The 24,226-nt window shown below is 45.9% G+C and overlaps 1 protein-coding gene across 9 annotated transcripts in view, besides 7 other annotated features; it reads right to left on the bottom strand.

Moving 5' to 3' along the window:
* The window catches only part of NCK2 (NCK adaptor protein 2), a 149,820-nt gene that overhangs the window by 114,227 nt on the left and 11,367 nt on the right, over nt 1-24,226 (bottom strand). The window contains exon 1 of one of the 9 annotated variants that reach the window (XM_047446019.1): nt 15,541-23,691. The exons of 7 other annotated variants lie outside the window; for them this stretch is intronic. The gene's annotated coding sequence lies outside the window, so the exon portion shown is untranslated. Of the gene's footprint in view, nt 1-6,554; nt 6,906-15,540; nt 23,692-24,226 lie in introns of those variants that run through there. One more of the 9 variants, XM_017005104.2, reaches the window with a different exon arrangement.
* Nucleotides 1,641-2,141: an enhancer, noted in NCBI's record as "H3K27ac hESC enhancer chr2:106394362-106394862 (GRCh37/hg19 assembly coordinates)". NCBI's record gives its function as "activates a minimal SCP1, AML or CMV promoter by ChIP-STARR-seq in naive H9 embryonic stem cells {active_cell/tissue: H9 hESC(naive)}" and the evidence as "EXISTENCE:reporter gene assay evidence [ECO:0000049][PMID:30033119]".
* Nucleotides 3,252-3,361: an enhancer, noted in NCBI's record as "active region_16322". NCBI's record gives its function as "activates an Ori minimal core promoter by ATAC-STARR-seq in GM12878 lymphoblastoid cells {active_cell/tissue: GM12878}" and the evidence as "EXISTENCE:reporter gene assay evidence [ECO:0000049][PMID:35858748]".
* Nucleotides 3,422-3,521: an enhancer, noted in NCBI's record as "active region_16321". NCBI's record gives its function as "activates an Ori minimal core promoter by ATAC-STARR-seq in GM12878 lymphoblastoid cells {active_cell/tissue: GM12878}" and the evidence as "EXISTENCE:reporter gene assay evidence [ECO:0000049][PMID:35858748]".
* Nucleotides 9,808-10,310: an enhancer, noted in NCBI's record as "H3K4me1 hESC enhancer chr2:106386193-106386695 (GRCh37/hg19 assembly coordinates)". NCBI's record gives its function as "activates a minimal SCP1, AML or CMV promoter by ChIP-STARR-seq in primed H9 embryonic stem cells {active_cell/tissue: H9 hESC(primed)}" and the evidence as "EXISTENCE:reporter gene assay evidence [ECO:0000049][PMID:30033119]".
* Nucleotides 10,311-10,813: an enhancer, noted in NCBI's record as "H3K4me1 hESC enhancer chr2:106385690-106386192 (GRCh37/hg19 assembly coordinates)". NCBI's record gives its function as "activates a minimal SCP1, AML or CMV promoter by ChIP-STARR-seq in naive H9 embryonic stem cells {active_cell/tissue: H9 hESC(naive)}" and the evidence as "EXISTENCE:reporter gene assay evidence [ECO:0000049][PMID:30033119]".
* Nucleotides 17,178-18,023: an enhancer, noted in NCBI's record as "OCT4-NANOG-H3K27ac-H3K4me1 hESC enhancer chr2:106378480-106379325 (GRCh37/hg19 assembly coordinates)". NCBI's record gives its function as "activates a minimal SCP1, AML or CMV promoter by ChIP-STARR-seq in naive H9 embryonic stem cells {active_cell/tissue: H9 hESC(naive)}" and the evidence as "EXISTENCE:reporter gene assay evidence [ECO:0000049][PMID:30033119]".
* Nucleotides 18,915-18,994: an enhancer, noted in NCBI's record as "active region_16320". NCBI's record gives its function as "activates an Ori minimal core promoter by ATAC-STARR-seq in GM12878 lymphoblastoid cells {active_cell/tissue: GM12878}" and the evidence as "EXISTENCE:reporter gene assay evidence [ECO:0000049][PMID:35858748]".

The following is a 24,226-nucleotide window of genomic DNA, read 5'->3' as shown; positions in this document are numbered from 1 at the left end:
AACGGAAATTAGAGTAGTTTATGAAAAGAGTAGAATTGAATTAAATAACCCAAGGAAGCACACACAGGAGGTCTTGAGAATTCGCTGAGCTGTGAAGTATGTGGATATGTACACGCTATCCTGAATGAGAGGGTGAAGGCGGTCTCGTAGGCTATGGCATTCAGGCTGTTTTCCCCATATCAGTTTCTCCTTCCTATAACTAAGGGAATTAATCCATCATACAGAACGTGAGGACTCTACAAAGCTACATTTCTGCTAGGGAATTACTATGTATATGTATGTGAGTGTGCGTTTTAAATCATGGTCTGACCAAGAGGCTCAATTCAAAAGCTGATTAGTGGGAAAAAAAAAAATCAAAGCTCTTTCCTCCTCTCCTCCACCTGCATACGTCTCCCGTGGGCGGAGAGCAAGCTCTCCTTTCCATCTGCCCACAAGGCCAAGTGTAAAGCACAAAGAATGGGCAGTCCTTTTCAGGTCTGCAGCCAGGAGGCTGCACCCAGCTCCAGGAAGCCAAGTTCAGCTGGACGCAGCCACCCACCACTTGGTAGGTGGCAGAGATGCAGCCATATTCAGACAGACTGAAGCTCTATATATAACAGTCACATGGCAATCAACTTAAAGTATCCCCTTTAGTTAATTAAAAAAGATTAAAAGCCTCAAGTCTAGGTGTTTTCTGTTTTCTTCAGGAGTGATTTTAATAAACACATTTTATGACGGATTCTTTTTTTTTTTTTTTTTTGAGACGGAGTCTCGCCCTGTTGCCCAGGCTGGAGTGCAGTGGCACAATCTCGGCTCACTGCAACCTCTGTCTCCCAGTTTCTAGCGATTCTCATGCCTCAGCCTCCAGAGTAGCTAGGACTACAGGCATGTGCCACCATGCCCAGTTAATTTTTGTATTTTTAGTAGAGACAGGGTTTCACCATGTTGGCCAGGCTGGCCAAAAACTCATGACCTCAAGTGATCCACCTGCCTCAGCCTCCCAAAGTGCTGGGACTACAGGTGTGAGCCACTGTGCCCAGCCTTATGATGGATTATTAATGAAAATTATTCTCAATTATTTGTTTTAACATTTAAATATTGAATTTCCAAGTTTAAAAAAGATATTCTTAAAGCATATTCTTAAAGCTCTTGAAAAAAAAAATAACCATTATCTCAATTAGCCTGGTATAGTGGTGTGTGCCTATAGTCCTAGCTACTTGGGAAGCTGAGGCAGGAGGATCACTGGAACCCAGAAGTTTGAGGCTGCAGCGAGCTATGATCACACCACTGCACTCCAGCCTGGGCAAGAGAGTGAGATCCTGTCTCTACAAAAATAATAAGAAATGAAAGAAGAAAAAAATAACCATTATCTCAATTGATACACATAACCAGTGCAGTAACAAGGGCATGATTTCCCAGCCTAAGGAGGAATGTGCAGAAACTCCAGTTAATAGGGGCACCTTTGGTTCACGCAGCCACCAGCATCCTGCATTACTCTGTGAGAGTTAACTCTGCCGGCAAATCCCCATGGAGAGGCTGCCCAGAACCAAGGGCTTCTTCCCTCTGCCATCACCGCCCTTCCCTGGTCCCCATGCACACAGTGTTAAGGGCAGGTGTGTTCTTACACACCACCACTTCCCACGCCACAGAGGATGGTCAGCAGATGTGGTCAGAGTGGGCAGCTGACCAAACTGGGCCAAAGCAGCTCTTTCCTCAAGGCTAGAACACAGAACAGATCCTGAAGGCTCCAGCCTCTGCTGGAGACACATGCCTCCAGGATGTTGGCAAAGGTCACTACCACATGTGCTGGGATAGGGACGGCCAGTCTGTAATGTGCAGAGGGATAGAGCTGAGAGGCAGGGGGCTTTCTAGGTCCCCAGTCCCCCTCTAAGCCCGGGACCCAGTCCCAGAGGCCTGCCAACATCTCCTTCACAACACATCTTGTCCTTAGGACAAATTTCTCTCACTTCACAGAGCTCAATGGGGTTTCTTTTACTGCCACTTTGGCAGCTCCTCCAAGCACAGCTGAAGAAGGTGAGGAGAAAAGGCAGGTGCAAATAAGGGAGCTAGGAGAGACTCACAAAGTCCAGGTCTCAAACAAAAGAACTTTCCATGACAAGAAGACAGGCAAAGGCTGAACGGCTAGGCGAAACCAAGGTGCTGCTGCTGGAATCCTGTGAGCTGTCACCCCAGTACCGATCCTCTCTTCAATACGAGCACAGAACTGCAAAGGGAGCTCGGCATTTTCAAGATGCACGTGTTTGTTTCCTGCTTGACAGGAGCAAACAGTTCCTACCAGGGCTTCAAGTGGTCTGCTTCTCCACCCACAACATATGCACCAGAGAACCACAGTGTCCACAGTGGCTCTACACACAGGACCTTGATAGGAATTGTGCGCATTGGTGTCCACAGACTGTTACCCGGAGAACAGCTGCAACTGAAGTCATTTATAGTCATTTCCACTGGCCAAAGCAGGTCATGTTAAACTTTTCATTTGTTTTGTTTTTCCATTTTGGTGTGTGGGTATAATCCGCATGATTATCAATATCCCATTTCCATTGATCCATACAGAAAATGCACAGCACCTACCACTCTCCACCCACGCCGTGCCAGGTGGTGAGCACTGGGTCATTTCATTCCACCCACACTCTCAGGAGTCTGTGTGCAAGATGTGGCCTCCTGGTGTGAGGACTGCCCCAGCCCTCCTCTGTACCTGAAAGCTACCCTTGCCAGCTGGATTCTGGTTAAGTTCTGTCAAAGACACAACCAGGTGCAACATTAAAAGGCAGGAGGAAGGGCAAAGCGTTGCCCCCCCGCAACACCCCGGCTCGTGGCTATGGGGACAGCAGGTTCCTAAAGCAGCAGTGACGAGAGTAGAAGGTTCCAGCTGCCATCGGTGGAGTGCCCAGTGACAGCCGCAGGGCCGTGGGCTCAGAATTCCTGCTCGGCGGCAGCAGCAGTGAGGAGAGCACCTGCTCTCAGGCTCTGGGAACTCTCAAGGCCTCATTTTGCCCTTCAGACCTAGGGACAGCGGCAGCTTTCTTAGTCTCTGATCTCTGGGGAAGATGCCTTTGGCTGTCCAGCCCTTCACACTCTCGTGAAGCCACTCCCCATACTAGATTCTGCCTATATGAAACCCCTAGGAGGTTTCCATTTACTGAGAGAGGCTCCAAGGGGTCAGGAAGAACCCCAAGGCCAGAGGAGAGCAGAGATTATCTGAAAAGTGAGGTCAGCAGTACTGACTACCAGAAAGAAACCAGAGGGCTATGGTACCCTCGAATAGTCACGTGTGGTCCGACTGCTAAAGATCCCTGCAGCCAGGAGCTGGGAGCCCGGAGCCTGGACTAAGTCCAGCCCTGCTGGGATGGCTGAGCTAAAACGAGGGAGGCTGGCTGGAGGAGGAAGGTGGCTTGCTAGCTGGCATCATCTGCTCACCAGCTAACCCTAAAAGAAAATCCACAAGTTCCTTTTTCTGATCATGCTCAAAATGTCATAGAGGTCCCCTGCCAGGCCAGGGGACAACCCAAGGCTGGCAGCATGCAGGAGCCCTCCACGGGTGGGTAGGCTAGCAGATGGCATGGCACAGGAAGCAGCCCCCAACCACAGCTGGGTGACTGTACACCCTGGAGGGCGGCCACCCTGTCCCAGTCAAATGGGCCCACCTGGTATATGCATGGTGACAGGGGTTCTGAACTCCCTCCCCCAAACGTGCTTTGGCTGCTTCCAGAAGATGTTGAAATGTTAAGATATTTGGAGGACTTATAGAAATAAAGGGCAAAAGGTAAGAAACTGAGTGTTACAGAAAACCCAGGATGTACGGTTTCTGTCGCTGGGACGGAAGTTGGGGTGTCCCCACCCAGGACACTGTAGCAACGTACAGGAAGTGGGAGCGAATGGCAGGGCAGAGCACTGAGATTCCTAGGGGAGGTCCCCAGCCAGGCATGGCCTGCTCCGCACCCACACCCCCAGAGGTGGCCTGCAGTAAGGGACATGCTCCAGGCCACACCAAATTGGGCCAAACCAAAATACAAGGGGGACATTTTTTCAAATTATTTCCCAGGTGGAAGTCATTAACTCCCTAAGCAACTGACGGTCAACAATTATCCCTCGCACTGTTTTTTTTGTTGGTGGTGGTGCTTTGTTTTGGTTTTGGTAACCACAAAATCAAAAAGGAACTTTTTGATGACCAGCTATTCCAAGTTTCTCATTTACAGATGAGAAAATAATGAGCCTGATTAGTGCACAAAAACACAAATACACATTAAAAGAATCCAAGTGAATCAAGGTAGCTCCCAAGCTCACCACACCGGGAGGTGTGGTGCTCCCAGTGATGCCAGCCAGGCTCCCAGGGTAGGAAGGAAAAACAAACAAACAAAAAGGAAGCTAATTTTCAAACAGTTGTAATTAGCTGATTATTCTTCACTTGAAAGGTTGCATGAAACAAACAGCTCCTTTGTCTACAGCAGAAGCTGTAGACAATTTAAGTTAAGGCATAAATTCATAAATAATGTTTAAAACCCAAAAGGAGATAAGAAAGAACACATCAATGTGCTACAATGACAACTGAAAAAAATAAGCAAGTCAGAGGAAAAATGATTAAGTTCAAACAAGATCAATCTGAAGTTAAATTTTAAAAACTAAATTTCGGTTAAAAATAATTATCTATCTACCTGGAATCTGAATAATCTAATAGGGAGCCCAGAGATCAGGGAAGGGAATGAGGTGAGTTAACTACTGATGTCCAGTGACAGGCACACCAGGATTCAGGATTCTTAAATTTTGAAATTTCCCATCATGAAAAATTAAAAATCCACAAAGAAACAGGCAAATTCTCATTGATTAGGCACCCACATGCCACACACAGTGCAAATTACTTACAACATGACTAACACGTAAAAACCACCCCTCAACAAATACCACTTATTACTATTTTTTAAAAACTAAAGTTTAGCTAACATCAGATGACAAGGTATTCAGACACCATGGTGTGACTCAATTTCTACATGAATCCATCTGGTAATTATTATTATTATTATATTATTATTATCATTGTAGAGACAGGGCCTTGCTATACAGCCCAGGCTGGCCTCAGGCTCCTGGCCTCAACTGATCCTCCTGCACTGGGATTACAGGCATAAGCCACCGGTGCCTGGACTGGTAATGATTTTAGAAAGCGTTTTTTCAGCTGTACATCTACACGGCTCATTAAGCCACATTTCTTTCAACACATAACTCAAAAAGAAAAGTGGCTTTATAGATGATACCCAGTACTCAGTGTCCAATGAATGCTTCACAAAAGTTACAAAATAAACGTGAGTTAAAAATTGAGTGTACTTGTGGAACACAGATTTCGTCATCCAGGCCCCAGACAACTTGACACCTCCTCTCCCTACCGCACCACAGAGTGGACAGGCCCCAACAGCCAGGTCTAGAGTTCGTTGTGTGTGTGCCTTCCCCAGCCACATGACCAGACCTGCAGTGGACACCTGCCCAAATTGAGACGATCAAATCTGACTCTGGGACCCAAATACATTGTTCCAGGGGCTCAACACACCAGGGCCCAAGGGGTCCATTCACAGGGAGGGCCACCAGATTCTGACCAATACATCAATTTTATTTTTGCCAACACAGAAAATACTGAGCATCTGTCAGACCAGTCAGACCATCATCACACAGCCAAGTTAAGGCTTGCTGTAAGGGCTCAGCTACTGTGAGGAGGACTCAGGTACCTAAAACATCTGTTACTAAGATAGCTGGAGGCTGGGCACAGTGGCTCACACCTGTAATCCCAGCACTTTAGAGGACTGAGGCGGGGGGATAACTTGAGGTCAGGAGTTCGAGACCAGCCTGGCCAACATGGTGAAAACCTGTCTCTACTAAAAATACAAAAATTAGCTGGGTGTGGTGGCACGTGCCTGTAGTCTCAGCTACTCTGGAAGCTGAGGCATGAGAATTGCTTGAACCTGGGAGACAGAGGTTGCAGTGAGCCAAGATTGTGCCACTGCACTCCAGCCTGGGCAACAGGGCGAGACTCCGTCTCAAAAAAAAAAAAAAAGATAGCTGGAAAAATCCACATCTTCCACCTGAGGACTTCCAGATGCACACTTCATTTTGGTACCTCTGACATCTTTCTTATAAACAGAGGGTTTTGTCTTGTTTAAGGCAAATAAAAACAGTTAAAGAAAAGACTGCTGGACTACCCAAAACACTGCATAAGAACAAAAGACAACAGTCCACACCACTACCGATTCTCCAGGCAGCCTGCCAGACACAAGCTCAGGGGAGCAAGCACTTGGGTGCTCCTTTTCCACCGCAGGATCACCAGGGCCTGAAATAGCACCTGGCTCAGAGTAGGTGCTCAAATAGTTGTTGAGTGGGTGACTGCTGCTTCAAGTCTTCCAAAGAAAAAATATCCATAAACCAGGATGCTCTAGCATATAAGAAATGAACCATAGTGTCAAAGGGATACTATGGTATTGGGTGCTGACAGAGGACTGGGGAAGGGGAAGGAAAGACATGAAGTATGAAGCACAGATGCCAGACACCATGGGGTCTTTCTATGACACTGAAGTTACCTGCCCAGCAGGTTCCAGGTGCAGTGGTGATGGCCCTGAGCTGAGCATGTGGGAAACAAGGAGGCATTCCAGGGATGAAAAACCAGCATGAGCAAAGGTGCATGGACTGATGGAGGCCGGCACGTGTACCAGACGGCGAGAAGACAGGTCTGCCTCAAGCGGGTGGCTGGAAAGGAGAGGGACAAGGGGGACTAAGCCAGTGTTAGAGGATTCGAGAAACAACTGCAATTGCTGATGTTGGTTTCTTAAAGAAAAATATCCTTGGCACTCACTGGCAAAAAGGTGAGTGACGGCCAGATGGTAGGTGGCTCATGCCTGTAATTCCAACACTTTGGGAGGCTGAGGCAGGTGGATGGATTGAGGCCAGGAGTTACAGACCAGCCTGGATAACACAGTGAGGGCCTGTCTCTACAGAAAAATTAAAAAAAAAAAATTTGCTGAGTGGGGTGCTACACACCTGTAGTCCCAGCTACTAAGGAGGCAGAGGCAGGAGGATTGCTTGAATCCAGGAGTTCAAGGCATCAGTGAGCCATGATCACACCACTGCACTCCAGCCTGGGCAACAAAGGGAGACCATCTCAAAAAAAAAAAAAAAATGTGGACACGTGGGATGATGTGGGAGGTCGCCAGGAACACACTGTGAAGGAAGGACCAGGAGACCTAGATGCAGGGCAAGGACAGGGAGGACTCTGGTTCCCAGATGAAAGGAAGCTGCACTCACTGTGAAAATGGGAGGGGAGAAGAAGTCAATTCCAGAAAGAAGAGTTTCGGGGAAAAACTCTAGTAGGAGGTCACTAATGCCTCTGAGCCTCCCTGAAGTCAGAAGCACAGTGTTTTTGTCATTGACTTATTCCCATGTCCTCTGCAATAATGACTGCATGCTGAGCCAACAGTGACAGGCAAGTACTGGCTCAATGTTTAACCCAGCATCAGTAACATGCGGCTGACCCCAGTGCTGCGGAGGGAGGAGGACCAGAGATCCGGCCACTTCTGGAGAAGCACATCTGTGAGGCTAGATCAGCTATCTAAAAGGCAGGACATCAGGTGGGCTAAAGTGAAACCCAGGACTATGCCCACATTCCCCGGGAACAAAGAAAGGAACATTTTCCTTTTTCTAGGTTCTTATCCTGACCAAACACAGGCAAATGGGAAGGATGCTTAGTGCTGTTTATTCCATGGGGCAGAAGGCTCTCCTTTGGGAATAAACAAATAATGAGCTGAGCCTTGAGAAAGTTAAAAATCAACAGTCTAAATAAATCTATGGTTCTCAAACTCAGGGCCAAAGAGATCAAGAGTTCCCAGGAGGCTCCGAGAGGCTGTTGGGAAGACACCGGTGGAAACTGCTAACACAGCATTCTCAGCCTCTGCAAACGCTACCCCCTCCGCCATCCTTCAGACACTGCCCTCGGCTGAGCCAGGATCGGCAGTTCCACAGGCAGGACGCAGCTTACAAGCTGAGTTCTCAAAGACTCAGAGCTGAAGAGTTCCTGGACACTTTGACGACAATATCCAATTTTGAAGGGTGTCTGGGAGGGAGTGGAAAATGAGGCCCTGGAACAGCCCTGGGAGGGAGGAAGTCAGTCTGAGGAAGCTTCTGGGAACAGCTGCGGAGAAAAATATAGATCTGAGTGATGGGCAGGCCTCACAAAGGAATGGCAGCTTTCACACCAGAGGGTTTTTACTTCAGACAGAAGAAAACAATGGTTAGAAAAAGCTGCCAGTAGCGGTCAACCCAGGTACATGCTTTTTCTAGAAAGCTTTATGAACTCAAAGCAAATCTCAGTAGCCTCTATTTGAGAAACATCAGCTTTAAAAAAGCTGCCTTCTATTGATAAGAAAAGAACATTACTTTCTACCTAAGTGACATGATTAGAAACAATGGGAAACTTCTTGAAATATTTGTCTAAATTAGGTCTTTCTGTTTTTGAGAGGGAGTTCCACTCTTGTCGCCCAGGCTGGAGTACAGTGGCCCAATCTCGGCTTACTGCAACATTCACCTCTCGGGTCAAGTGATTCTCCTGACTCAGCCTCCCAAGTAGCTGGGATTACAGGCGCCCTCACCACACCCAGCTAATTTTTATATTTTTAATAGAAACGGGGATTCACTATGTTGGTCAGGCTGGTCTTGAACTCCTGACCTCAGGTGATCCACCTGCCTCAGCCTCCCAAAGTGCTGGGATTACACACGTGAGCCACCCCGCCAGCCCTCATGTTTTTTTACTAGAAAGTCAGAATGGAAAATATAAAAGGGGATAGAAATAGTGATATTGGGCGGGGCGCGGTGGCTCACGCCTGTAATCCCAGCACTTTGGGAGGCCAAGGCAGGCGGATCACGAGGTCAGGAGATCGAGAGCATCCTGGCTAACAGAGTGAAACCCCGTCTCTACTAAAAATACAAAAAAGTAGCTGGGCATGGTGGCGGGCGCCTGTAGTCCCAGCTACTCGGGAGGCTGAGGCAGGAGAATGGCGTGAACCCGGGAGGCAGAGCTTGCAGTGAGCTGAGATCGCACCACTGCACTCCAGCCTGGGCGACAGAGCGAGACTCCGTCTCAAAACAAAAACAAAAGCAAAAACAAACAAACAAACAAAAAGAAATCATGATATTAACATCAGAATTGCCAAACACTGAAGATTGAAATGATAAGCAAACTGAAATGCCAAACTGTTTAACCCAAAATGACTTCCTGGATCTGAAATACTTTAAAGGGGTAGAAATACATTTTCAGAAGTATTATTTTTCTTGACCTGTTAAAGATCTTTAAGTTTAAAATAATGAAAAATAATTCAGATTACTAAATATCGATATCCATATCCTAGGCAATATAGCACTCTGTGATTCACACAAGAATCAAATCCGAATCACTGACCTGATCATTTTACAGATCAGTGGTCTGTTTCTAGAGCATATCTACACACTCTAAAAATGACAGATATTCTATAGCCTTCTACTTCTAAGAAAATGATTTTAAATATGATCAGTTATGTAAACACACATTCGCATACACACACACAACCTTACAGTAAGTTTCAGGCCTTCTTAGTTGTAAGAAAAGCACTGTACTTTTTAATCAGGACACATAAATCTACCTCTCAAAAGATCAAAGCCAGATGCAAACATCATCCTTTAAAAAGATCTCAGCATTAGATAGAGCCACTAAGTTTACCTCTAACTGGAGTCACACTGTAACAGAAATTTCAATCATGCTCTTAAAGTTCAAAGAATTCTGTAGAAAAGAATTCTGTCCAGAATATTAACATTTTTTTGAAGTCTGATTCTTAGAAATTCCTTTAGCAACCACACCCCATGTCCACAGCACCATCCTTTTTCTTGTTGCAATATACCTTTTTCTTTTTTTTTTTTTTTTTTACTTATTAGTGCTTTATGTTACATGAAATTAAGTGCAAAAATACTTAAATAATGCTGTGTGCCAGGCACCACTCTCAATGGTTTGACTCACTGTACTCTGCACAATCACCCATTTTCCAGTGAAGGAAATGGAGGCACCAAGGGTAAAGTAGCCAGCACAAGTCAGACCTCATGGCGGGGCCAAGGCATTCTGGCTCCAAAATCCCGAATCAAAAAGCAGAAGGTCAAAAAATTAAAAACAAAGAAACATCACACACGGAAGGAGGAGAGGCCAAAGATTACTCCGAGGGATTAAAATCTGAGTTTTTCTCCGGTTTACCTTCTACAACTCCTTTTACTGACCACGCCTGACACACTGACACATGCATTCCCTGCCACAGTGGCTCCTGTGGCCGCCTGGCTGTACTGCACAGTGCAACTCCTCAGGGCGGAAGCTGCGTGGACCCCTGGCCCTTCTTGGCCAATGACTCTAATTACCCCATGGTTCCCTCCAGAGGGCAGTGGGCAGTGCAGTAGGTCACCCACACGTCCCATTTCTTAGAAAACCTGCAGCCATGGATGCCTAACTTCTACTGTGGAGTTATTCTTCTGTACGTTATTATAAGTAGAGTCACAATTTTTGTGCTACATTTAAACATTTTGTATCTCTAAGCTTCCTTAGAAATGTTACTATATTTTTCCTACATTTGCTTCCTGAGAAGCAAGAACGGGGGAGTTACCAGCACAGTGAGAGTCATGATTCGTCAGACCCAGGGTAGAAAAGAATGTAAAATAGGCACGCATCAGCTGTTTTACTGAGAGGAGGGCTTTAAATAGGGCGCAGCCAGCTGGGGATGGGGAGGGGAGGGGTGGGGCGGGGCAGCAGGCTGACAGGGCTGCCCAGGTGGATAATAAAAAAGATCTCTGGTCTTGGTCCCTGGTTTCTGGCATAGAGCTCCTAAAGCCCTTGGTATTTACTGAGCAACAAGAGTGCCCTTAGTGATTCATAGAGAGCCCCAGTGCACCACACCTGAGCTTATGCTAATGAGGTGACCAGTGGGGTTGGGGGGTGCCCCTAGATAGCCTGGAGGGGAGCTGGTCATTGCCAGAAAGACAAAACGTGTGATTAGAGAGTGGGAACTTTCTGCACCCCCTACACCCCAACCTCTGGGAGGGGTGGGGGGCCAGGAGACTGGGCTGCAAAAACTCTTGAAAAATGGGATGTGGGGAGCCTCCACGTCATGAACTCATTGGGATGGTGCACTAGGAGGTGTCTCCCCCAGGGGGCATGGGGACTCCCACCCCTCGTCCCATGTGTCACTTCCTTTGGGCTGTTCCTAAGTTGCATCCTTTAAAACAGGGGTGTCCAATCTTTTGGCTTCCCTGGGCCACACACACTGTAAGAATCATCTTGGGCCATACATAAAATACACTAACATTAACTGCAGCTGATGAGAAAAAGAAAATTTCAAAAAAAACTCATCATGTTTTAAGAAAGTTTAAGTATTTGTGTTGGGCCGTATTCAAAGCCATCCTGGACCGCGGGTTGGACAACCTAGCTTTATAGGAACCACTAACAATAAGCAAAGTGCCTTTCTGAGTTCTGTGAGTTGTCCTGGCAAATTATGGAACCTGAAGTGAGGTCATGGGAACCCCAATTTACAGCCAGTTGATCAGAAGTACAGGTGGCTTAGGACATGCAACTGGTGACGGAAATGGGGATGGTCTTGTGGGACTTAGCCCTCAAAACTTGTGAGGCCGGCACGAACCCTGAAAAGCTAGTGTCAGAACTGAACCAAATTAGGGGACACCTAGGTGGTGTCAGAGAATCAGAGACCTGTTTGATAACACAGCCACCGGCCACACGCGGCCACTGAGCACTCAAGGGGTGGTGAGTCCAGCTATGTCTTGCTGTGAGGGCAAACACACACTGGACTCTACAGACAGGCAAAGAAAGCAAATGAATGGCATTAGCAATTATTTGAGTATATGTTGAAATATTTTGGTTATGTTGGACTACAGAAGACTTAAAATTTGTAGCCTTTTTCATGTGGTTACTGGGAGAGGTGAAGTTACACATCTAGCACACACTGGCAGCTTATGTTCTATTTCTGCTGGACAGTGCTGCTTGAGATGTCTTCATTTCTGAAAACACAAGTACTGATGTCCATTTTTTTGTCTCAAATTTTTCACATGTAGAAAGACAGCAACTACTTAAGGATGAGAGCCGGGGATGTGAGTAATAGAGAGGGAAGGAATTAGTATTTATTAAGTGCATATTAAGTGCTGGGAACCACCCAGTATGTCCCACAATTTCATGCTAGCAATCCCCTGAGACAATGGGTATCCTCCTCCTCCTTTCCCAGGTGCGGGCACGGAAACCTCAAACCTCGCGCCAATAAAGGGACAAAGCAGGGACTCCAATGCAGCTCTCCTGATTTCTGTTCCTTGCTGCACACTAGGGGCTGCGGTTCTTCTTCTGGAAAAGGCCTGATATTTCAGGCTTTGTGGGCCACATAGTCACAATTCCTCAATTCTGCTGTTGCAACATGGGGCAGCCACAGATGCTGTGGAAATGAATGAGCCCAGCTGGGTTCTAATAAAACTGTATTCACACCCAAACAGGTGAACTGGATTTGGTCCATGGGCCACTTTGCCAACCTCTACTGTAACCACAAAGAGTAACAGATATTCCTAAATCAATTACTGTATCATCAGTGCACCAGAATGTAACACTTATAAAGAACACCTTTCACAAAATACTAACTAGGTTATTGTGGAAACAAGGGAATAGGGAGGGTCCAATTTTGCAGGTGAACTTCCTGTTAGGCTTCTAAGCTCATATCAGACATCCAAGTAGGCCACGTCACGAGCAGTATTACATTAACAGCAAATTGCATTTGGTTCAATGACATGACATGTATGTGTGACATGAATAACATTACAAGCATATACCTGGGAATATGGAATGGTATCTATGAGATAAACACAGACGGGGGTCCAGGCTTCCAGGTCGGAGCCTCCCTGGCTCCAGAGAGATAAGCAGGCACCAGGAACCCAGCACTGGTGTGTGTGGGCCTGAACCTGGCTGACCATACGAGTAGCTGACCATAAGAGTAGGTGTGACACACCTGGGCAGGTGTCCTCAGGTGAGAAGAGTTCCTCCCAAGCGTGTCTCTTCACATCTTCTCTTCACTCCTGAGTTTCACCAACACTGCACAGGCAGCAGGAAGACGGAGCCAGAAGCCTCCAGCCAGTTACTAAACTAATTTGATGGCTTAAATATTAATTTGTAAGTCAAACTAACACTACTCACTACAGATGGAAATAGTTTGGAGGGAACGAAAATCCTGCATGCCCACAAGATGGAGGGATAGCCGAGTAAAGGAAAGGTCTGGGGACAGAGCCAGGGCTGGTTCGATGTTCACCTGCAGACCCCGCCCCCGCCAGGATTCTCCCTCACAGACTACCCTGAAAGGTGACAAGTCAACAGATACAAAGCAGTGGAGAAAAAGAAAACCTAGGCCAGGCACAGTGGCTCAAGTCTGTAATCCCTACATTTTGGGAGGCTGAGGTGGGAGGATCCCTTAAGGCCAGGGGTTTCAGACCAGCCTAGGCAACACAGTGAGACTCCATCTCTACAACAAAAATTAAAAACTTCACTGGGGCTGGTGTATGCCTGTAGTCTCAGCTACTCAGGTGACTGAGGTGGGAGGATTGCTTGAGCTCAGGAGGTCGAGGCCACAGTGAGCCATGATGGCGGCACTGCACTCCAGCCTGGGCAACAGAGCAAGGCCCCATTCCTAAATAGAAGAAGAAAAAGAAAACCTAAAAGAGGTGAGAGAAGGAGAAAGAAATACATCAGGTTCTCCCCACCTTCCAGGCCCTCCCAGAGCCATGCAGAACACAGACTTTCCCAGGTGGGAAGTCCCCACATTCCCGGGCTCTCCTGCTACCAGAATGTGCTTCCTAGGCCCCACTTCCCCACTCAGCCCCACCTGCGCCTCCCCTCATTCTTTTGTTTCCTTTAACACTCTTGAAGGGAACAGTATAAAGCGATTTCTACTATCCATGGTAGCAATGTCAGGGAGTCCTGCTTGGCAGGAAGCAAAGTCTGGGCCAGAGTACCAGGAACTGGTCATACCTGTGCAGTGTAAGCGTCACCTGCTGCCATGTAACAAGTCACTGCAAATTCAGCAGCTTACACCCACATATTTATTGTCTCTGTGGGTCTGGAGTTTGGGTGTGGCTTACCTAGACTCTTAATTTTTTATATAATGAAAGACAGCTAACACACATACCTCCACAGACTTACACACACACACACAGACACACACACACACACACACACACACACACCCCCTATTCTAAGCTGTATCTGTGGGAGGCTATCTGCCTGTTACGGGTGTGAAAATCTAAAATATTTGCAACTGTTTCTGAAAATGTCTTTAAGGAACATATTAGTAATTAAAAAAAAAACCCACTACCCACTACCTCTGTCTCTGTTTTAGCCAGCGACCAAAAATACGATAATCCAGCCCTGTCACTGACATCATGCCCCAAACAAGTCCCCACAGAACAGTCTAACAAAAACTAAAGTCACCCTTAAAGGGAAAAGTCATACCATGGCTGAGAATGTTCCATCTGCCATTAGGGAGTCCCTTCAAAGAAGGGACCACCAGCTCGAAAGGAAAAGCCAAGAACTGGCCGTGGGGCCGGCCTCAGGATGACCATGATGGAATGCTAAATCCGTGAGCACTACTGGCAGAGTCCCTGAAATTCAAGGGCCATTTTAAAGTCAGCCTGTTTTAAAAGGACATGGTAGTCACAGTATGTACAAATTCTCGTCAATTTGTTTTCAAAACAGCAGTGACACTGTTTTATCATCACTCTGAGACACGGTCCTCTAGAATAGATCAATCCAAAATGCCTTTATGGAGGGACCATTTACACTGACTTTCAAAAGCAGTATTATTTGGGTGAAATTGATACTTCCACACTACTGAAAACTGGCATAACCCTTTGTAAGGGCGTTATGGCAAGATGCATCAAGAGCCATAAAGATGTCCATACCATGTAACTCTGCAATGCCTCTCCAAGGAATTTACACTAAAAAAAAAAAAATGGTTCCACTGAAGAAGAGAAATATACCCAGAGACGTACACAGGCACCTTGTCTACAGGAGCAAAAATTTAGATGTCCAAATGAGCACACTACTTATGCAAGTGTGGCGCTTTCAACTCCATGGGATATCACACAACATGGAAAAAAAGGATTTGAAAAACTAGTAAAGTGGAAAAAATATTCAGAGTGAGAAGAATAGAAAATTATACAAAAGTTATAAATACTTACAAGGATGAGCTGCAAATATGAAAAGTTTCTCTTTCAGGATGGTGAGATTACAGGAAGCATCTCGCTTTTCAAAAACTATGCTTAAGAGTCAGTATATTATCTCTATCTTTAAAAGTAAATTCACACCAAGAAAAAGCAATGCCAGAAAAATACATCTCAGGAATCTAGGTCTCCATAAAGCAGCTGTGTGTTTGGTTTGCACTTTGAGATCTTTTTACCTGGTACTGCTGAAACCCCACCTGGGAAGACCAGAGCCAAGTGACCAGTATCATTCTGCCTCCTGCTCACCTGTCTCAGTCAGATGAGGCAGGCCATCAGGTTTTGAGGCAGCTTTGTGGCTGAGCCTCGAAGCAGAGCAGGCTGCAGGCTCCTGCAGGGATGCAGTCCTAGGAGGGTGGCCGGCGATAAACATGTGGAGCTCAGACAGCCCTGCAGAAGGAAGCATTTCCACTCGAGCTGTGGGGCTAAAATAATTAAGAATGTGGGATGTCTGCCCACAGGCTCTCCTTAACCTGCAGGGTGCGGATGCAAAGGTGCTGAAGGGTCAAGGCTGTGGTGCCACAGGTGCTGAAGGCCAGCAGGTGCTGCAGGGTCAAGGCTGTGGCCCACACCAAGGATCATTGCACAGGCGTGCAAACAGCATGCACCCACGTGAAAGCTCTGCAAAGCGAAGCTGCCAGGACTAGCACTCGGACAAATTGCTTAGCTTCTCCATCTCAGCTACCTCATCTGTTAAACGGGGCTGAGGGCAGCCTCGTGGGGTTGTAGAGAGGACTAAATTAGGCAACACATATGAAATGCTCAGCCACGTTAAGTGCTCAATAAATATCAGCTATTATTATTGACACATGAATACTTTAAGAATGTACCTTCACACAGTCCATCATCGTAAGGGAACTTCTAGCAGCTGGTATTTATAGTTCCACATGCAAGAAGGCACAATGAAAGTAATGTCTGAGCCAATTCTTCTTCCAAATTATTTTTTATTTTATAGCATATTTCTTTAAACACAGGGTCAAAAACTCCAGGGACCATTTTGCCACAACACGGCTGAGAATCAGAAAGTCAAACTTTTTCACACAAGAGATTTTAAGTCATTTACACTGTCCTGATACTGGAAGTTATTATAAACCCCTAAGTTCCCAATGCACAACCCAACCCCAACCCCACTGCTGTAACAGTAAATAATCACAGATCCCAGAACACAATTTTACATTTTTTTCAACTAACAAATTGAATATTTCCCACTGTGACAACTTAATTAAATAAAATTTATAAAAACAACAACTAGGCTTTTATCCAATTTAAATAAAATTCTTTCTATATTCTCTTTTGAGAACAGGTTTTCATTTTACCCACTTGGGGCATGTTTTGTCGTTACTGCATGACTGGAAAGAGTTCTGTTAGGCAGCAAAATTGAGCTACTTTTCTGCAATGCCTGTGTAGACTGTCTCTGGCCAGCAGCCTCGGTCCCAGCAGCTCGGTCATCAGAGGACGCAGTGACACCTGGTCCCTGGCGAGGTCCCGCTCTCCCCTTGGCAGAATGGTGAGGGCTAGGGACTCCTCCTCAGGGTGCTTTTGTTTTGTTTTTTTTGGAGACAAGAGTCTCGTTCTGTCGCCCAGGCTGGAGTGCGGTGGCATGATCTCGGCTCACTGCAACCTCTGCCTTCTGGGTTCAAGCAATTCTCCTGACTCAGCCTCCTGAGTAGCTGGGACTACAGGCACATACCACCACGCCTGGCTAATTCTTTTGTATTCTTTAGTAGAGACGGGGTTTCACTGTGTTGCCCAGGCTGGTTTCGAACTCCTGAGCTCAGGCAATCCGCCTACGTCGGCCTCCCAAAGTGCTAGGATTACAGGCGTGAGCCACTGCGCCTGGCCTCAGGTTGCTTTTAAGTGATTTTCATTTTATGCAACTATGTGGAACACAGTTATTAATATATTACTTAAAAACAAACTTGAGACATAGTAATCTACGTATTTCCTTATTAACACACCAAACGAGAGGGTAGCAGCAGTGCTAATAACAACCATAATTTGAGAGCAATGATAAAAGCAGTCACTCTTTCAACACACGTGCATCACTATTATGTAACAGGAAAATAGTGACCATTTCTCTGATGACTGTAAATGCTATGGGCTGTGCTACCTACATTCATGCAGGAAGGAAATACTGAATTTCAGTGAAAAGCTGGTGGAAATAAGGATGTTTTTTCCCACCCCAAAGTTCACAGATATCCTCCATGCACTCACCACCACAGGCCCATGGTTCAGGACACCGTCTTTAGGAAATCACTCAGAACTTCACACTACGTCAAGACCCTGGGACATGAGCTTCAGCGAATCTCTAGATTCCAGAGTCCAGACTACAGAAGAGACAGACTGAACCCCTTTCAAAGCAGAGGGCTCTTTTGTTGCTGTGAATCCCAGGAATGCCTGCTGATGTGAGGAGGCAGTCTGACAGCAGGAAGCGCCCGGGCCTGGACCTAGACCCCCCCTGGTTTGATGCTCTGCCCATTAGCTGCCTGTTTCCTCGGCAAGGCCTCTTTCAACTTGAGAGTTGAAGGAAATCTTCGGAGATCACCTGGTTTAAGCCCACTCTTACGCACAGAAACTGTGCTTCTCACAAGCTTCTTCTAAGGAAAACCCAAGAGCAGTGCATTCCACAAACTCTGTCCTTAATTTTCTAGCAAAGCGAAAGTCCTTGTTTTCAGGTCAAGTGATTCATCTACAGAAAGCCACCAAAACCCACACTTGCAACTGTAGTCAACGCAAAAACTTAGAAAAAGGACAAGATATTTTTAAAATGTATCAAAAATCCGCAGGACAAAAGAGAAAACATAAACTGTAACACAGAGGCAGAGATTGAAAAGAAAATAATGTTCAAAAGGGTCAGCGCACATGTCTGTATTCAGTCTTTTTTGGTCTCACTGTCATATAGGCTGGAGTACAGGGGCCTGATCACGGCTCACTGCAGCCTGGACCTCCCAGGCTCAAGTGATCCTCCTGCCTCAGTCTCCTAAGTAGCTGGGACTACAGGCACTTGCCACCATACCCAGCTCATTTTTTTGTATTTCTTGTAGAGACAGGGTTTCGCCATGTTGCCCAGGCTGGTCTTGAACTCCTGGGCTCAAGCAATCCTCCCACCTGAGCCTCCCAAAGTGCTGGGATTACAGGCATGAGCCACTATGAGCCACTCTGCCTGGCCCAGTCATTTTTTAATAAACAAAATGCATTATTATAAATTATATCTATGTGAATGAATACAACAGAGTCTCTCTCATCTGTGTATAATGGTTTGGGAAGGGTGGAGCAGGAAGTAGTGTCCCCCCACCTGGCCTTCCACCCAAGCCTGGAATCGTCCCATCACTAGGAGGGAGAAGGCAGTGACCAGAAAGAGAAACAGGCTAATGGCCTTAATTCTGACTTTTTCTGTACCCAAGAGAAAGGTGAGCCACTCTTCTCCCTCCCAAAAAAAGATTCTCTGGAAGTCAGTCAGCCAGGAGTTAAAATGACCACTTCAAGACCCTCCCCACGCCAGCTTCTGAGCCAACGCCTGCCCCGTCCATACCACCGCTCCCATACACACCCAAACCTCCCAGCACCCGGGTAGGGCACAACCCTGCTGCCCAGAAGAGGCCCAGTAGGGTGGGCGGGCAGGCACACCAGCATGGCCTCACAGCAGACTCTGGCCCCCATCTATGAGAGGAGAATGCCTTCCTCAGACACTGGGTCGGGACCACTTCCTGAGCCCAGTCACAGACCAGGGCTTCCTCAGGCGGAAGCAGGATGAGGGCCACCCAGATCCCAATCCCAAAGAAACTTCTTCAGGCCACTGCCCTCCCACTTCAACCAGGGAATGTGCCCAAGAGCTAGGGGTGTCCCAAAGCGCAAGGCATGACACATGTAGAAACTATGAAGATTTTTCGGTGATTTTTTATTTGCTCAAACCTGAACACAGTCCACGTGGGGTCTCGGTGTCTCTGCCTCTCTCTCTCTCTCACATGTGACAAAACCATTTTCAGAGAAGCCTGGCATCTAGGGACCTCCCTACTCTGGCCCTGACTGGCCTTTCCACAATAGGGTTCTCAGCTGTAACTGGTTTCTCCCTTCACTGGAACTCTGGGCCCACCAAAAGAAGGATGAAGTTATCCAGAAAGCAAAGACCCTTGGTTGATACAAAGGGAGCCTCAGATGGAGAGATCCAAGAGGTGGTCAAAACTGTGGGAGAAGTGGTTACACGGGGAGCCTTAGAGCTAGGTGCCACCAGCAGGGAAGAGGTGTGAACGGCAAGGATGGAGGTGAGGGCCTGACTCCTGGCCGGCACACCTGGGGTTCAAGTGCTAATCCACAGCAGAGGCTCTCAACTTTGAATATGCATCAGAATCACCTGGGGAACTCGTGCAACAGGAAGAATTCCAGACCAACCTATCCCACGCGGGAAGTCAGGCAGTTCCCCGGAATTTGCATTTCTCCACAGCCCAGGACCACATTCTGGAAACCCCATGCTGGGGCACCATCCTATCCTATCACCTCCTCCGCAACAGTGCCAAGGGGCTGTCTGTGCCACAGTGCCTTCTATCCCCACTGAAAATCTTGGTCCCTTTTGGGAGAATAGATAAATCTGTCAGATAGAATTCTAAATAACTAATGTAAATACAACCCCTACAGGAGGTACAGCTGAACTCCCTCTTCCTTAAATGACCTCCTTCCAAAGACTGCAGCAGTATGGAAAGAAGGGAAAAGAGTCACTTGACAGTGGAGTCACTTGACAGTGGAGTCCCCTGACAAACACTACCTGGGCCAGGTGATCAAGATCAACATCAACCATCATAAGCCACGCTGATCACATGGACCCTTGATACAAAATGGCACATTACCTCGGTGGCCTTCCTCCCCAAACCGGTAACTCTACACTAATCATGAAAAAACATCTGACAACTCTCAACTGAGGGACAGTCTACAAAACACCTGAAAAGCAGTTTTGCTCCTCAAAGCTGTCAAGCCATTAAAAACAAGGCGAGTCTAAGAAACTGTCCCAGATCAGAGGCGCTACGGAGACTAAAGGAAACGTGCCCTGGATGGGATCCTGGGACAGAAAAAGGATGTCAGGGCAAATAAACTATGGACTTAACAATAATGTACCAATACTGGTTCATTAGATGTAACCAATGTACTATAGTAACGTAAGATGTGAATCACAGGGGAAAGTAGACACAGTTTATATCAGAATTCTCTGTATTATCTTTGAAACTTTTTCTGTAAATTTAAAATCTATTCTAAAATTAAGCGCTTACTTAAAAATATATACCATATGTTTTATTATATAAAAGCCTGTATGCATAGGGTAACATGGTTGACTTTCAACAATAACAAATTACACTTTGGAAACGTTAAAACACTGTGCTCAACAAAAGGAAATAAATACCCCTATTGATCAGCTTAATACACGAACGTGAGGGTATTACATGGCTGAAATGCAATACAATTTTCTGCTTTCCCCAGAGAACGTACTATGTGTACTTGAATACGTAAAACGATATACTGCATGTGTTTATAAACAAACAAAAAATCTTGCTCCCTTGAATAAGACCAAATAAGGACTTAACACGTGAAATTCTCTCCTTCTGAAGGCCCAAGAACCAGGAATCTAGGTATTCGATCAACCTTTAAAATTTTATCAAACTCAGATCTTAAATTATCATTATTTGCAAATTAAGTTCATTCAAAACACTAAGCATTAATTATAGTCTATCACTAATTAACTATAGTAAATCACCAAAACCATTTTACTTTAATCCATGTCACCAAAAGCTAAGGGAAATGTCTGCTGGTTCAGTGTCAAATAGAGGACGAATCACTAATAATGATTTTACTAGTTTTGAATGCTAGCATTAATTCAGTTTCAGATGTTAAACAAAGCTTAAATGTAAACCCTGAAATCAGTTCCAACCTTTGGAAAATAGTTTTGTAACAACTTACTGTCAGAGCAGTACAGTAATTTGGGTACTGGGTAGAAGTATCAGTCTTGACTACTGTGTAGAAGTCAAGAATTTCAAACACTGCATTTAAAAAATACAAAAACGGGACGGGCTCAGTGGCTCAAACCTGTCATCCCAGCACTTTGGGAGGCTGAGGCGGGTGGATCACAAGGTCAGGAGTTCAAGACCAGCCTGGCCAATATGGTGAAACCCCGTCTCTACTAAAAATACGAAAATTAGCCGGGCATGGTGGTACGCACCTGTAGTACCAGCTACTCGAGAGGCTGAGGCAGAAGAACTGCTTGAACCCGGGGACAGAGGTTGCAGTGAGCCGAGATCAAGCGACTGCACTCCAGCATGGGTGACAGAGCGAGACTCTGTCTCAAAAAAAAAAAAAAACAAAAACAACAAAAACAAACATCTACAATGGAGTAAGAAATAAACTAAATTTCCAAACACAGTTCAAATGAAACCATCAATAGGATAAAACAAACCTGTAAAATGTGTGCACAGGATTGATGTGCAATATTCATTACTAATCCAAGAGAAGTAATGTGATTCAATTACTTACATCTCTATATCAAATGTGATGGCATAATGGCTTTATGCCATTATCAATTAAAAAAAAATAAGGAAGTATTAGTGTGCTACCTGAGACCTGCATTCCACTCAAAGCGCCAAGTAGTTTAACTCATTTTTAAGAGATAAAGCTCTCAAGCAATAAACAACATGTAAGTAGAGTTCACATTACCTGAAAATTGACCCACAAATCATGTGTTCATCCTAAGCAAACTAACTGAGCTTCATCCAGGCCCTGGAATAATAACACCCACCCTGGCATGAGAGAATAGAGGTGCTTCACCCCAGCTGTGGTGGAGACCTGGCTTACAACTGGCATGTGGAATGTCTCAGCTCAGGTGACAATTCCAGTATCTGGGAGTTGCCTGTGCACTGAAGAGCTTCTGAGGATCTTGAAGAAAATATTATCCTCCAGAATGCTTCAAATGAATTCTGCCTGGCCTTGGGGGTTGGGTTAGAGGTTAGAGGGGGACTTCCCATATGTGCTTCCCCCACCCAGAGATGGCGAAAGTTATTTTCCATACTTGTTAATTAAGATTACAGTGGACTGTGAGCTTGTAAGATCTCCACACTGGTTTACAGGCTCCCCAAAGGCTGGTGTTTGTCTGGTTTGCTGTGGTTTTCCCACGGCACCCAGCACAGTGCCTGGCCCATGGCTGGTCCTATGTAGGTATGAACTGCAGGTACACAACTGAGTGAAAACATAGCCAGGAGAACAGTCTGACCTGTCGGTGGCAGGATGAACAACGTAGCCTTTCTACATCTCTGCACCCATATACTTCCAGCCCTCCTAACTACACTCAGAGAAAAGCAACAGCAACATCAATTTACACATAGATCAGTTCATCCCATGCCACTTTGAAGAAAAAAAAATCCCTAATAATCAAGGACCTGTCCCATCTCAATTTTAACACAGCGAAAGTTGGGGCTATAAAAGGTTGTGAAAGTACATTACAGGCAACCCCTAGTTTCACAGAAGACAAAACAGAGGTCAGGAGAGTTTAAAACTTCGCTATGCAATTTTAGCCAAATTAGTAGCAAAGGAAAAGGAGACTCATCTCTATTCCTCGTAAGAATCAAGATTGTTGAAGTTCAGATTTACATGAGCCATTAATAAAGTTCAGAATGGGGCCAGGCGCGGTGGCTCACACTTGTAATCCCAGCACTCTGGGAGGCCGAGGCAGGCAGATCACCCGAGGTCAGGAGTTCAAGACCAACCTGACCAACATGAAGAAACCCCATCTCTACTAAAAATACAAAATCAGCCGGGCATGGTGGTGTATGCCTGTAATCCCAGCTACTCGGGAGGCTGACGCAGGAGAATCACTTGAACCCAGGAGGGGGGAGGTTGTGATGAGCCAAGATCGTGCCATTGCACTCCAGCCTGGGTGACAAGAGCGAAACTCCGTCTCAAAAAATAAAAAGTTCAGAATGATACTGTTTGAATCCAGCTCCCATTGTAATGGAAAGCCAAGCAGTCACTGCGTGAAGGCAAATGTTTTGAGGGACGAGGGGACTTCAATAACATCAATACAAAGCCAGAATGAAGTCCAGGACCTGCTGCTCTGGAGCTGGGCCATCCCACATACCACACTGCTTGGGCCTGACATTCCCCCATGGCCACTCACCACAGGACCCCAGTGGGCCAGTCAGTGTGCCCTGGTGAGGGACCCACACTTTCCTCATCTAAAAAAGGGATAATTAACAACACTGGCCTCCCTCTACCTGACAAAGTTAGAATCAAATGATACAAGGTGTGCAAGTAATAAGAGAAACACACATCGTTCCAAAGTTGCAACTTCAGAACTTTCCAGTCTGTGCAAAGAATTACTATTAATTTCTCACAGGTCTTTCTCAGTCCATATGAGATAGGATGACTGAAGAAAGGGAAAGATTGATTGTACTTTTAACTATCTCCACCAAGGAAAGCTCAAAATTATGCAAAGTGATGATTTCGTGTTTATCCTAGAAACAGCACAGGAAGAGAGGGGTAAGAAACAACAAAGTCAAAAGGAAGAATAATGGAACAGGAAATAATTTAAACAAAGCAGACAGTGAGAAGACCAAGGGAACTTCTAACTGACAGCTCTCTTCATCTCTAGGCTGATCCTACTTGATCAAGTAAGGGCCTGTTTTAAAGAAAAAAAGAACATTCAGACAGCAACGTCATATGCTAGGCCAGGTAACAGGCAGCTTTGCAGACACTGGAAGTCAGCGACTAACAGCCAGATTAGAATTTCCCCTTTCCTTTTCCCTTCGTAAGGTCTAATTTGTGATATTTTTAGTCTCTCTCCCCTGAGGAGTTTATTTTAGAACTATACAAAGAAGGAAATTAAACATTCAAAAGCTAACATATGTGACCAGCTCAAAAATTATCAGGCTGAACCTAGAATCCTATGAACCTTAGTAACAAC

Source organism: Homo sapiens, chromosome 2, assembly GCF_000001405.40.
Source record: "Homo sapiens chromosome 2, GRCh38.p14 Primary Assembly".
NCBI classification, from domain to species: domain Eukaryota; kingdom Metazoa; phylum Chordata; class Mammalia; order Primates; family Hominidae; genus Homo; species Homo sapiens.
Note: the sequence above shows the minus strand (reverse complement) of the source record. Positions and strands in the feature narration are given on the sequence as shown.